This window comes from Homo sapiens, chromosome 16 (assembly GCF_000001405.40).
Source record: "Homo sapiens chromosome 16, GRCh38.p14 Primary Assembly".
NCBI lineage: Eukaryota > Metazoa > Chordata > Mammalia > Primates > Hominidae > Homo > Homo sapiens.
The window spans coordinates 16,038,870-16,052,567 of record NC_000016.10 but is presented as its reverse complement, the minus strand read 5'-3'; the positions used below and the strand labels follow the sequence as shown (position 1 = coordinate 16,052,567).

Sequence of the window (13,698 nt, the reverse complement as noted above, 5' to 3'; positions counted from 1 at the left end):
GGTTTCATTCCTGAGCATCTCTCCAGGTCCTCCCAATCCCTTGAAGAATAAGCAGGTCCACGCTCCTTTCTCCCAAGCCCTTGGGGCCACATGAGTTTTGCAAATTACAACTGCAGGATTCTAATTTTTTTTTTTTTAGGAGATGAGGTCTCGCTATGTTGCCCAGGCTGCAGTACAGTGGCTATTTGCATCAGTGATCCTCCTACTTCAGCCTCCAAAGTAGCTGGGACTACAGGTAAGCATTAGGTCTTGCTACATTGCCCAGGCTGGTCTCCAACTCCTGGGCTCCAGCGATCCTCCCAATTCAGCCTCCCAAGTAGCTGTGACTAGTCACATCACCATGCCCAGCTAATTTTTTTGGTTTTTTGTAAGGACAAGGTCTCACTATGTTACTCAAACTGCTCTCGATCTCCTGGGCTCAAGTGATCCTCCCAACTCAGCCTCCCAAGTAGCTGTGACTACACTCACACCACCATGCCCAGCTATTTTTTTGATTTTTTGTAGAGACAAGGTCTCACTATGTTGCCTAAGCTGGTCTCAAACTCATGGGCTCAAGCGACTTTCCCACCTCTGCCTCCCAAGTAGCTGGGATTACAGGCGCGAGCCATCACACCCAGCTTAGATTTTTAGAAAGGTAATAAGGTAGTAAGCAGAAAAGTGTGAACACGACCACCTGATTGCTTTTCCTGCTTGAAGGCTGCTTACAAGTTTAGCCCTTGGCTAGTGTCTGCATACTTACAGGGTTTCCACCATTAACAGAATTGGGTAGAGTAGCTCAGTGTGCCTCAACTGTTTGTACAAACAATATGGTTTATGCTGAACACCGCTTTCCCTCTGGGAGTCTAGACTTTTGGTATGTGCCAAGCAAAGGCTGCTTATGTGACCTGCCCCTAATACAAACCCAGGAACTGAGCTCCTACCAAGCTTCCCTGGTTGGCAACATTTCACACACATAATCATCATGGTTGCCAGAGAATTAGTGAACCTGTGACTCTGCTGGGGACTCCTGGAAGCCTGCACCTGGCTTCTCTTGAACACCGCCCCATGTGTGCCTTAATTCCTTGCTAATTTTGCTGTATTAACTTATAGCCTTGTGGCCAGGTGCAGTGACTGACACCTGTAATCCCATCACTTTGGGAGGCCAAAGTGGTAAGATAGCTTGAGGGTAGAAGTTCGAGACCAGCCTGGGCAACACAGCAAGACCCCCATTTCTACAAAAAAATAAATAACTTAGCCAGGCATGGTGGCGTGCACCTGTAGTCCCCAGCTAGATGAGATGACAAAGTGGGAAGACTGCTTGAGGCCAAGAATTCAAGGCTGCAGTGAGCTATGATCGCACCACTGCACTCCAGCCTGGGCAACAGAGCAAGACTCTGTCCCTTAAAAAAACAAAAAAAACAATAACAAGAACAAAAAAAAAAGACAGCCCCCACAACAAAGAACTGTCTGGCCCCAAGTGTCAACAGTGCTGAGCTCAAGCAACTACCATCTAAAACAAAACGTGATGTTAGACAATTTTCTTAACGGTTCATAAACCAATCCTGAAGGCAGTTCTAGAACAAATGTTCCAAAAATATTTTTCCCATAGTAGCACTTTTACAAAAGTGGACTCCCCAAGACACCTGCTTGAAAAGACACTTTATTTAGATTTTTTTTTTCTTCTAGAGACAGGGTCTTGCCTTGTCACCCAGGTAGGAGTGCAGTGGTGTGATCCTAGCTTACTGCAGCCTCTGCACTCCTAGGCTCAAGCAATCCTCCTGCCTCAGCCTCCACGGTAGCTGGGACCACAGGTAGGCACCACCATGCCCAGCTAATTTTTTTTTTTTTTTTTTTTTTTTGTAGAGACAGGGTCTCACTATGTTGCCCAGGCTGGTCTCAAACTCCTGGCTTCAAGCAATCCTTCCACCTCAGCCTCCCAAAGTGCAGGGATTACAGGCGCATGCCACCTATATCTGTACCCAGCCTATTAGACAATTAAATTCTGGTGTTTTTTCTGAGTTTTATTATTAGAAACACTTTACTCACCTTCTGCTCTACAAATGTACAAAAAAAAACCAAACTACAGCCAAATAAACCAGTAATTTTTTCTTCTTCCTTTTTCTTTTTTTTGAGACAGAGTCTCGCTCTGTTGCCCAAGCTGGTATGCAGTGGTACAAACTCAGCTCAATACAACCTCCGCCTCCCGGATTCAGGCCATTCTCCTGCCTCAGCCACCCAAGTAGTTGAGATTATAGGCATACACCACCATGCCTGACTAATGTTTATATTTTTAGTAGAGACGGGGTTTTGCCATGTTGGCCAGGCTGCTCTCCTGGCCTCAGATGATCCACCCGCCTTGGCCTCCCAAAGTGTTCAGATCACAAGCATGAGCCATTTCGTCCAGCCCTTCTCTTTCAATAACAGATAATAATTTGAGCTGTGCCCATTATGCATCAGGCCCTGCTGGGGTTGTACCCACAGAAGACACAAAAGTCAGCTGCTATATGTCTGCAAGTAGCTAACATGTTACCCTTCAAAGAGGAGGCAGTACACTGAGCATGCAAAAAAAACAAAACAAAACTATTTCAGGGAGTGGGCTGGGCACGGTGGCTCACGCCTGTAATTCCAACACTTTGGGAGACCACAGAGGGTAGATCACCTGAGGCCAGGAGTTCAAGATCAGCCTAGCCAACATGATCAAACACTGTCTCTACTAAAAATACAAAAAAAAAAGAAAATTTAATGGGCGTGGTGGTGTAAGCCTGTAGTCCCAGCTACTCGGGAGACTGAGGTAGGAGAATTGCTTGAAGCTGGGAGGCAGAGGTTGCAGCGAGCCAAGATGGCACACCACACTCCAGCCTGGGCAACAGAGCGCGACTCCATGTCAAAACAAAAACAAAACAAAAAAAACTATTTCAGAAAGTATTATTAGATGAGTTCCTATACTAAAGTTATTGGGACTCAAAATTCAAAAGAAGAAGTCCATCTAATTGAGAAGGGAGGGTAAATCAATGGAAGTAGTGTTTGTTACAGCCTTGGGGGATGAGCAGGCTTTCATCAATTAGGAAGAAGGAAGGAAAGGTACGTGGCAAAGATCCAGAGGTAGCAAAGCACAAGGCATGTGTTGTGCTATGAGCCTCTTTGCTTATCATTTTATTTTGGGAACTCTCCCTCTCCACATGGAAGGGCTGTCAATCACATCTCTTCTGCCATGGGAGAGGACATGTGACCCAGGCTGGCCAATGAGAGAACTCTGCCTCCTGGGCCACAGTGATTGGTTCACGGGTGTGAATAGGACCAAGCCAGGCTAATCAGAGTGCTCTCTGAGACTGACTCTGGCTGTGCAGAGAAATGCTGCCTTGTCTTTTCTCTGGCACCTTTATCTATCAGGATGTTATCAGCCCAAAGCTACGGAGCCATGTAGGGAAGTACCACTGAGAATGATGTTAACTCAGAGGACAACAGGGCAGTGGGTGAAACTGAGTACTGACAACATTGCTTGATCTCCTGGATCAATCCACACCTGAAGCTAGTCCCCAGATTTCTGAGATACATGCAGCCCCAAAGTTCCCTCTATTTACTTAGGCTACTTTTTTTTTTTTTTGGAATTGGAGTTTCACTCTTGTTGCCCAGGCTGGAGTGCAATGGCCCAATCTCGGCTCACCGCAACCTCCGCCTTCCAGGTTCAAGCAATTCTCCTGTCTCAGCCTCCCAGGTAGCTGGCATTACAGGCATACACCACCACGCCCAGCTCATTTTGTATTTTTAGTAGAGACGGGGTTTCTCCACGTTGAGGCTGGTCTCGAACTCCTGATCTCAGGTGATCTGCCCGCCTCGGCCTCCCAAAGTGCTGGGATTACAGGCGTGAGCCTCTGCAACCGGCCACTTAGGCTACTTTAAGACAGATTTATATCCCTTGCAATTGAGAGAATTTTGACCACCATAATTAGGGACTAATGAATAAGTGAGTCTGGTTAGCGTTTGGGAGGATTCAAGGGGAGAAATATGATGTGTCGTCCATTGTAGGGTAGTTAATTACTGACACTGTCAAGGAAAAGAGAAAATGAAAACGCCATGCCACCAAGGAGAACATCAACCTGACAATTCAGGAAAGGAACAAAATACTGAGGAATTGGTTAACAGGCTGGAAAATAAAATATGAACCACAGCCGGAACTGCCAGGGAGCTCTACATGCCATTACCATCAACACCCACTCCCTCGGCCCACTGCCCACACGTAGAAGTCCCTCCCTGCATGCAAAGGGAAACGGCGTTAAACACACACCAGCCACAGGAGGTAGAGAGCAAGGATGACTTGCAGGGGGGCTGACCAGATCATGTTAATGTACGTGGCCAAGTCCATGAACCTCTGAGCGTCCACAGACATGAGGTTGACAATCTCCCCGACCGTGGAGGATTTTCTGGCTGAATTGGTGATCACCAGGGCCTGTGGGACAAAGGAGAGGGAAGGTGGGTGAGTGTGGCAGCTGAAGAGGCCTGACTCTCCCTCCAGACCCACGGAGAGGAAGGAGACTCTCAGGGGCAGAAATGCCGCAGATCTCTCCTCCTCCCCTCCCGACCTATCTGTCTGCCCAGGACGCCTGTGTCATCTCAAAGCCCACATTCTTATCCGCGGTGCTCAGTGCCTCCCAACCTTGAACTCATCAGTTGGCAAGGGACCCTAGGTGTCCTCGAAACCAGGGCTTCGCATGCTTTAATGTGCACACATGCGGCCGGGTTTTTCTGGGGGGAGTGGTGGGGGGTGGGGGGAGTTGTTTTGGATTCTGCAAGTCTGGGGTGTGGCCTGGGATTCTGCATTTCTACGCTTCCAGGCTGTGTCAGTGCTACTGGTCCCAGATCCCACTGAAGGACTGAGGGTGTGGGCCAGGGTCTCTAATCCTTGGCATTCTTGACATCTGGAGCCAGATAATTCTTTGGGGGGCTGTCCTGCGCACTGTAGGAGTTTTAGCAGCAATACCTGGCCTCGACCCACTACATGCCCTCGCCCCCAGTTGGGACAACCGAAAATGCCCCCAGATATTGCCAAACGTGCCCTGGTGGGGGAAAATGTCCCTAGCCCTCAAACATGATTGCACACTATCACCTCGTGAGTTTTAAAAACACTAAGACATTAGCAGGCGTGGTGATGCATGCCTCTGGGCCCAGCTACGTGGTGGGCTGAGGTGGCAGGATCGTTTGAGCCCAGGAGGTGGAGGCTGCAGTGAGCCAAGATCATGCCACTGCACTCTAGCCTGGGTGACAGAGCGAGACCCTGTCTCAAAACATAAAAATAAATAAAAAACAAAAACAATGACACCTGGGTGCCACCACAGCAATCGCAATTTCACTGGTCTGGTGCAACCTAGGTGTCAGGAAGTTTTTTTGTTTTTTCAGACAGGGTCTCATTCTGTCACACAGGCCGGAATGCAGGGATGCTATCAGGACTCACTGCAGCCTCCAACTCCGGGGCTGAAGTGATTCTTTTAACTCAATCTCCTGAGTAGACGGGACTACAGGTACGCACCACCATACCTGGCTAATTTTTTTAAATTTTCTGCAGAGCCAGGGTCTTGCTATATTGACCAGGCTGGTATTGAACTTCCAAGCCTCCAGTGATTCCCCCACCTTGGTCTCCCAAGCTGCTGGGATTACAGGCATGAGCTACAGTGCCTGGCCTGCATCAGTTTAAGCTCCCCAGGTGAGTCTAATTCACAGACAGGCCTGAGAATCACTCCTCTAGTTCATCAAGTACCTGCAAGACTGTCTCTTCCTAACCTAGGAGCCAAGCAGTTTCCTTGACCTCGAGACAAAAAAAAAAAAAAATTTATAGGGATCAAGAAGGTAATTTAGGTCCTTTGAAATTGGATGTACACAAATGCCTGCTACATACTCTTACCATGCAAGGAATGTGCCACCTGCTCAGTTCAAATTAAGAGTGACAACAGGCTGGGCGCGGTGGCTCATGCCTGTAATCCCAGCACTTTGGGAGGCTGAGGCAGGCGGATCACCTGAGGTCAGCAGTTCAAGATCAGCCTGGCCAACATGGCGAAACCCTGTCTCTACTAAAAATACAAAAATTAGCCGGTCGTGGTGGCAGGCGCCTGTAGTCCCCGCTACTCAGGAGGCTGAGGCAGAAGAATCGCTTGAACTCAGGAGGCAGAAGTTGCAGTGAGCCAATATCATGCCACTGCACTCCAGTCTGGGGGAGAGAGTGAGACCTGGTCTCAAAAAAACGAAAAAAAAAGAGTGACAACAAGCTGAAACACAGAATGTTAACAGCAGAATGAGGATCCAAACTTGGATTTCCCCACAACAAGGGCCACTGATCCATCTAAGAAACTCAATTACTCACAGCTGATACACAAAGACATCTACACGCCCACCCTTGAAATCAGCTTTCCTAACGTACAATGCCTGATGCGTGCTGTCCCTGCCACCTAAGGTCACGGAAGCTACCCTCATCCTACTGCTCCAGAAGCTGGGCTGGAAATCCCCACGCTGGCCCCAGAGTAACCCAGGGCTGCAGGAGGGGATGTGGAAGTCGGGCCACATGCCAATGGCACAGCGTCCCCTACCTTCCGATAGACAGCCCCAATGACAGCGGTCTTGATCCTCATGCCACTGACGAAGCAGATGTGGAAGTACTGGTGCAGCACGAGGGTCTGCAGGCAGGCAGTGACAAACAGCAGCACGGTGTAGAAGTAGCCCTGCCAGTCTGGGGCCTTCGTGTCATTCACGAACTTGATGAGCAACCTGCAAAGGAGCAAAGAGAGGGCCTGGAATGACTTGTGACACGTGGGGGCAGGGAAGAGAGCTTCAGTGTTGGCACTGCAACTTTCTCCTGAGCCAGATGAGCTAGACACTATCACTTCAATTTCATAGATGGAAAAACAAGTCCACAGTGGTGATCTGGCTGTGCAGGTGACCCAAACTGCTCATAAAAGAGGCCTCTGCCTTGGGGTTGTGCACTAATTGCTCTAGCTATATCTCATCACCAGCAAGTCACCCAAAGGAATTGCATAGGGAACACGAGGTAAAGAGGTAGGGAGGAAAAGAGAAGGGATGTGTAGCCCCTGAGTCACAGAGCAGCAGAGAGCCAGGTAGGAGAGAGGCAACTTCCTTTCTGACTCCCCAGTTCCTGGTTGCAGTTTTTTGTTGTTGTTTTTATTCTTTTTTTTTTTTTTTTTTTTTTTGAGACAAAGTCTTGCTCTGTCGCCAAGGTTTGAGTTCAGTGATGCAATCAGCTTGCTGTAACCTCTGCCTCCTGGGTTCAAGCAATTTTTATGCCTCAGCCTCCTGAGTAGCTGGGATTACAGGCGTGCACCACCACGCCCGGCTAATTTTTGTATTTTTAGCAGATGGTTTTACCATGCTGGCCAGGCTGGTCTTGACCTCCTGACCTCAGGTGATCTTCCCACCTCAGCCTCTCAAAGTGCTGGGATTATAGGCATGAGCCACTGCGCCCAACCCTGGTTGCAGTTTTTTCATGAGATCTGCTGGCATTTCCTTGCTCTTGGTTTCCCAAGACAATGCCATATCCTCCCCATTTGGGTTTTAGGGGAGCCTAGTGGGTTTCTGTTACTTGCAAACGATGTGGTCTTCACTAATATGGTAATTAAGTAAAGCATAAAGTAAAGCTAGGCAGTGACCATGGCTCACATCTGCAATCCCAGCACTTTGGGAGGCCGAGGCAGGAGGATCGCTTGAAGTCAGGAGCTCGAGACCAGCCTGACCAACAAAGCAAGACCCTGTCTCTATTTTTTTCAAAAAAGCTAAAGTAAAAATGGAGACATCTGGCTATGAGCCCACTTCAGGACACAGCATGACCCCAGGGTTATGACTGATGCAACTGAAAGATCAAAGCCAAGGAGGGAAAATGGAGCCCACCTGGGAGGGAAGGGGTCTTACTTTAAGATCTGCGGCCCGGAAAACATCATCAGGTCGTGGATGGCCTTGAAGAAGAAGCTCATGAGGAAGTAGGGCCCAAAGGTCTTGTATAACACCTTAAACAGAGAGGGGTTCCACTCCTTCTGTGGGGACTTGACGATCAAAGCCTCCACCTCCTCATTCGCATCCACCTTGGAACTCTCTTTCGGCTGGGCAGGATCCTTGGAGGAGTACACAACCTTCACCGGCTGCCTGGAACACAAGGAGGTGAAGCCGTTGTGGGGTCTGCCAGAGATGCAGCCCCCTACCACAGGGACATGGCCAGGGAATGTCACCCTTCAGGGAAGGCAGAGTCAAAGACAACAAGCCCAGGGAAAGAGGCAGCTCAGCACAGTGGTTACAAACACGGGCTCCAGAGCCACGGGCTCCAGAGCCACCGGCTCAAGGTCTGGCTTGGCCACTGGCCAGCTGCGTGACTTCAGACAAGGTCCTTAAGCTCTCTGGGCCTCAGTTTCCTCCTCTGTGAAATGAGGATAAAAGTAGGACCTACCTCCAAGGTAGGTAAGATTAAACGAGTTGAATAAGTTAAAGACTTAGAAAACTGATGGCTCCAAACTGATCTAGAGTCAAGGCAATCCCCATCAAAAGCCCAGCTGGCTGCCAGGTAGAAATTATGAGCTAACTTTAAAATTCACATGGAAACTCAAGGATCCAGAACAGTCAAAACAATCATGAAAAATAAGAATCAAGTTGGAGGATTCACACTTCCTGATTTCAAAACAATACAAAATAACAATCATGGCCAGGAGTGGTGGTTCACACCTGTAATCCCAGCACTTTGGGAGGCCAAGGTGGCTGGATCACTTGGGGTCAGGAGTTTGAGACCAGCCTGACCAACATAGTGAAACCCCATCTCTACTAAAAATACAAAAATTAGCCGGGCATGATGGCAGGTGCCTGTAATCCCAGCTACTTGGGAGGCTGAGGCAGGAGAATTACTTGAACCTGGGAGGTGGAGGTTGCTGTGAGTGGAGATCAGGCCATTGCACTCCAGCCTGGGTGACAGAGCAAAACTCCATCTCAAAAAGAAAGAACAACAATAGGCTGGGCGCAGTGGCTCACGCCTGTAATCCCAGCACTATGGGAGGCCGAGGTGGGCAGATCACCTGAGGTCGGCAGGTTCAAGACCAGCCTGACCAAACATGGAGAAACCTCATCTCTACTAAAAATACAAAATCAGCCCGGCATGGTGGCACATACCTATAATCCCAGCTACTTGGGAGGCTGAGGCAGGAGAATCGCTTAAACCCAGGAGGCGGAGGTTGTGGTGAGCTGAGACCACACCATTGCACTCCAGCCTGGGCAAAAAGACTCAGTCTCAAAAAGAAAAAAACAAAACAAAAAAAAGAACAACAATCATCAAGACAGGTAAAGGGATAGGCATATATACATCAGTGGAAAAAAAAAAAAAAAAAAAAACAGTCCAGCCAGCCAGAGCAACACAGCAAGACCCTATTTCTAAAAAAAAATTTTTTTTTTGACTGGGTGCAGTGGTTCATGCCTGTAATGCCAGCACTTCGGGAGGTCGAGGCGGGTGGATCACTTGAGGTCAGGAGTTTGAGAACACCCTGACCAACATGGCAAAACCTTGTCTCTACTAAAAATATAAAAAATTAGCCAGGCATGGTGGCGGTTGCCTGTAATCCCAGCTACTTGGGAGGGTGAGAAAGGAGAATCGCTTGAACTCAGGAGGAGGAGGGGGTTGCAATGAGCCGAGGTTGTGCCACTGCACTCCAGCCTCAGCGCCACAGCAAGACTCTGTCTTAAAAAGCAAATAAATAAAATTGACTGTGATGATGACTGCACAACTCTGTGAACACACTAAAAATCAGTGAATTGTATGTTCTGCATACATGAATTGTGCGGTGTATGAATATCTCAATAAAGCTGTCACCAAAAAAGTAGTCTTTATCTTATAGGGATTTTTTTTTTTTTTTTTGAGATGGAGTCTTGCTCTATCACACAGGCTGGAGTGCAATGGTGCGATCCTGACTCCCTGCAACCTCCGCCTCCTGCGTTCAAGCGATTCTCCTGCCTCAGCCTCCCGAGTAGCTGGGATTACAGGTGTGCGCTACCACACCCAGCTAATTTTTATGTTTTTAGTAGAGACAGGGTTTCACCATGTTAGCCAAGCTGGTCTTGAACTCCTGACCTCAAGTGATCTGCCTGCCTTGGGCCCCCAAAGTGCTGAGATTATGGGCATGAGCCACTGTGCCCGGCCAATAGTTCGTTCTTGTACATCACTTAGTATTCAGTTGTGCAGATGTACATAACTGGTGCATCTGTCTGTTCACTTGCTAATAGATGTCTGGCTTACCTCCAGTTTGGGTTATCACAAAGTAGCTAAGAACATTCCTGTACCAGCCTTTTATGAACATATGTTCTCAGCTCTGTTGGCTGGATGCCTGGGAAGGGGGTGACTGGTGGTATGTTCACTGTGTCTAACTTAAAAAAAAAAAAAAAAAAAACTGCCAAACTCTTCCAGAGTCACAGAAGCATTTCACATTCATGCCAGCAGAAACCACAGTCCAAAATGGCCCTAAGCTCTGAGTGGCCATACACAAAAGAGAACATAAAACCACTACACACAAACCAATGAAGCACTGGGTTTTTAAATCCAAACAATTCAAGCAATTCTCATGCTTCAGCCCCCCTGTAGCTGGATTACAGGTGAGCGCCACCACACCCGGCTAATTTTTGTATTTTTAGCAGAGACAGGGATTCACCATGTTGGCCAGGCTGGTCTCGAACTCATGAACTCAGGTGAGCCTCCCGCCTCAGCCTCCCAACGTACTGCAATTACAGGCATGAGCCACCATGCCCAGCCACACCTGACTTTTGAGAAGGAGTCACTCATGGGTGAAGAGAGGTGGTAAAAGGATCCAGGAAGCCATGCAGAGCCCCCAGCCCTGGCGTCCATCACCTGATCCCCGAGCCTAGGATACCCAGCAGCCCAGAGCTGCACGAGCTGCATTCCTTTCTCTGGTTAACAAAAGGGATCTGAGTGTAAGGGGCCACACCAGGAAATTCCAGCCTAGGACAGGGTTTTCCTTCTCACTCTCTCCAGGTTCACAGGGGTTACAGGTGCCAGATCTGGCTTATGCCTCTGGGAATAAAGCAAGCGATCCGTCTACCAATGTCCCAAGTAAATGATCCCCTGGCTCCACGCTGAGGATCTCTAAACACCAAGGTACTCACAGAGCCAGACCCTTCTCAGGTGGCCCGCTTTCAAGCCCCAAGACCCAGTTCTCACCACATCCTCCCTGGCAAGATCAAAGTGTACAGATGAATAAATAAAACTTGTACAATTAAAACCTGCCCAGCATGTACTCAGGGCTAGGGCACAGCTTATCATATCATATATCTCACTGAATTCTCAGAAAATGCTCTGGGTGAAAAATGGAGGCTCCAGTCAGGCACAGTGGCTCACGCCTGTAATACCAGCACTTTGGGAGACCAAGGTAGGTGGACTGCTTGAGCTCAGGAGCTTGAGAACAGCCTGGGCAACATGGCGAGATATCATCTCTACAAAAAAAAAAAAAAAAAATTAGCCAGGTGTGGTGGCACGTGCCTGTAGTCCCAGCTACTAGGGAAGCTGAGGTGGGAGGATCACTCCAGCCTAGGAGATGGAGGTTGCAGTGAGCCGAGATCGTGCCACTGCACTCCAGCCTGGACAAAAGAGTGACACCCTGTCTCAAAAAATAAATAAATAAATACAATGGCGGCTCCCGGTGAGGCATGAAGGGACTTCATGGACAGCCCTTGAGGTTCCCACCCTGGTCTCCCTGCCTTCACTCTTGTCCCTAAATATCCACCTTCCCCAGGACAGCCTGGGTTGTTATGAACCAGAACTCAGCTGGGTGTGGTGGCTCACACCTGTAATCCCAGCTATTTGGGAGGCTGAGGCAGGAGGACTGCTTGAAGCCAAGACTTGGAGACCAGCCTGGGCAACACAGTGAGACCTGTCTCTATACATATGTAACTAACCTGCACATTGTGCACATGTACCCTAAAACTTAAAGTATAATAATAATAAAATAAAATAAATTTAAAAAGGCCAGGCGCAGTGGCTCACACCTGTAATCCCAGCACTTTGGGAGGCCGAGGCAGGCAGATCACCTGATGTCAGGAGTTTGACACTAGACTGACCAACATGGAGAAACCCCATCTCTACTAAAAATACACAATTAGCCGGGCATGGTGGTACATTCCTGTAATCCCAGCTACTCCGGAGGCTGAGGCAGGAAAATCGCTTGAACCCGGGGGGTGGAGGTTGCAGTGAGCCAAGACAGCACCACTGCACTCCAGCCTAAGCAACAAGAGCAAAATTCCATCTCAAAAAAACAAATATAAAATATAAAATTAATTAATTAATTCATCAGCCAGGCATGGTGGTGTGCACCTGTAATCCCAGCTACTCTGGGAGGATGAGGTGGGAGGACTGCTTGAGCCCGGAATTTCCAGGCTGCAATGAGCTGTTATCATGCCACTGCCATCCAGCCTGAGCAACAGAGCAAGACCCTGTCTCTAAAATACATACATACATACATACATACATACATACATACATACATACAAACAAACAAACAAACAACAGAACTCACGTCACACCACTGCCCTGCAGAAAACCTGCGCCTGTGTTCTCACTGCACCTGGAATCCCACCTTAACTCTCAGAGGAGACCCCTGCAAATCCTTCTCCTGCTTCATCTCCTCCCTTTCTCCCCCTCACTCACTTTCCTCAAGCCACACAAGCCCCCTGATGCACCACGAGTGTCCTCAGAGCCTTTGCACTGGCTGCTCCCTCTACCTGGAAAGCCCTTCCTTCCCCAGATACACACAAGGCTCACTCCCTCCAATGCAAGTCTCTGCTCAAATGTGACCTTCTCAAAACAATCATACATGGTCAGCTGGGCATGTTGAACAAAAACACTTCAAAAAGCAGTAACACTCAGGATGCCAGAGGCTCGAAAACAGCCAGAGATAGACTTAGGGAGGGACAGGCACATGCTCACCAAGGGTCATGGCCACACTGGGTAGAACCTTTGACCACTGTATCTAAAACACCTCTCTCAGCCGGACACAGTAGCTCATGCCTGTAATCCCAGCACTTTGGGAGGCCAAGGCAGGAGGATCACTTGAGATTAGAAGTTTAAGACCAGCCTGGCCAACATGGTGAAACCCCGTCTCTACTAAAAATACAAAAAATTAGTCAGGCGTGGTGGCATGCACCTGTAATCCCAGCACTTTGGGAGACCGGGGCAGAAGAATTGCTTGAACCCGAGAGGCAGAGGTTGCAGTGAGCCGAGATCACACTACTGTATTCCACCCTGGGTAACAGAATGAGACTCCATCTCAAAAAAAAAAAAAAAAAAAGAAAACACACACACACACACACACACATACATACACACACACACACACACACACACAAAAGCTTCCTCGGTTACTCTCACCCTCATTTCCTCATTTTTATCTCACCCCAACACCATCATTCTCCAAAGCTTCTTGTCAATGCATGTTTCACAACCAACGTCCTGTCTCCCATATAGAATGTCGATGGCACCCAACTAGAGTGTGTCTCTTTTGTTCCACTCTCTGAACCCTCAGGGACTAAACGTCGCTAAGCACAAAAGCAGCAGTCAGTTTCATCTGCTCAGTGGATTAAGAGCCAGGCCAGTGGAGGAGCTTCTGGATTCAAACTCTGTCCTCCTCCCAAGGCTGTGATATTGGCCTCTCCCATGGTGTCTCCAGCAACCTGCTCTCCTGACAA

General features: G+C 48.5%; 1 protein-coding gene across 27 annotated transcripts in view, besides 1 other annotated feature; it reads right to left on the bottom strand.

Moving 5' to 3' along the window:
* The window catches only part of ABCC1 (ATP binding cassette subfamily C member 1 (ABCC1 blood group)), a 193,911-nt gene that overhangs the window by 90,486 nt on the left and 89,727 nt on the right, over window positions 1–13,698 (bottom strand). For all 27 annotated transcript variants that reach the window (XM_047434134.1, NM_004996.4, NM_001438755.1 and 24 more), the window contains 3 exons: window positions 7,888–8,118; window positions 6,555–6,732; window positions 4,265–4,426 (listed from right to left, as the gene is read on the bottom strand). In XM_047434134.1, the coding sequence (XP_047290090.1) occupies window positions 4,265–4,426; window positions 6,555–6,732; window positions 7,888–8,118 (571 nt within the window). The remainder of the gene's footprint in view (window positions 1–4,264; window positions 4,427–6,554; window positions 6,733–7,887; window positions 8,119–13,698) is intronic.
* Window positions 10,922–11,216: a silencer, noted in NCBI's record as "tiled region #7660; HepG2 Repressive non-DNase unmatched - State 15:Elon". NCBI's record gives its function as "represses a minimal TATA promoter and a strong SV40 promoter by Sharpr-MPRA in HepG2 cells {active_cell/tissue: HepG2}" and the evidence as "EXISTENCE:reporter gene assay evidence [ECO:0000049][PMID:27701403]".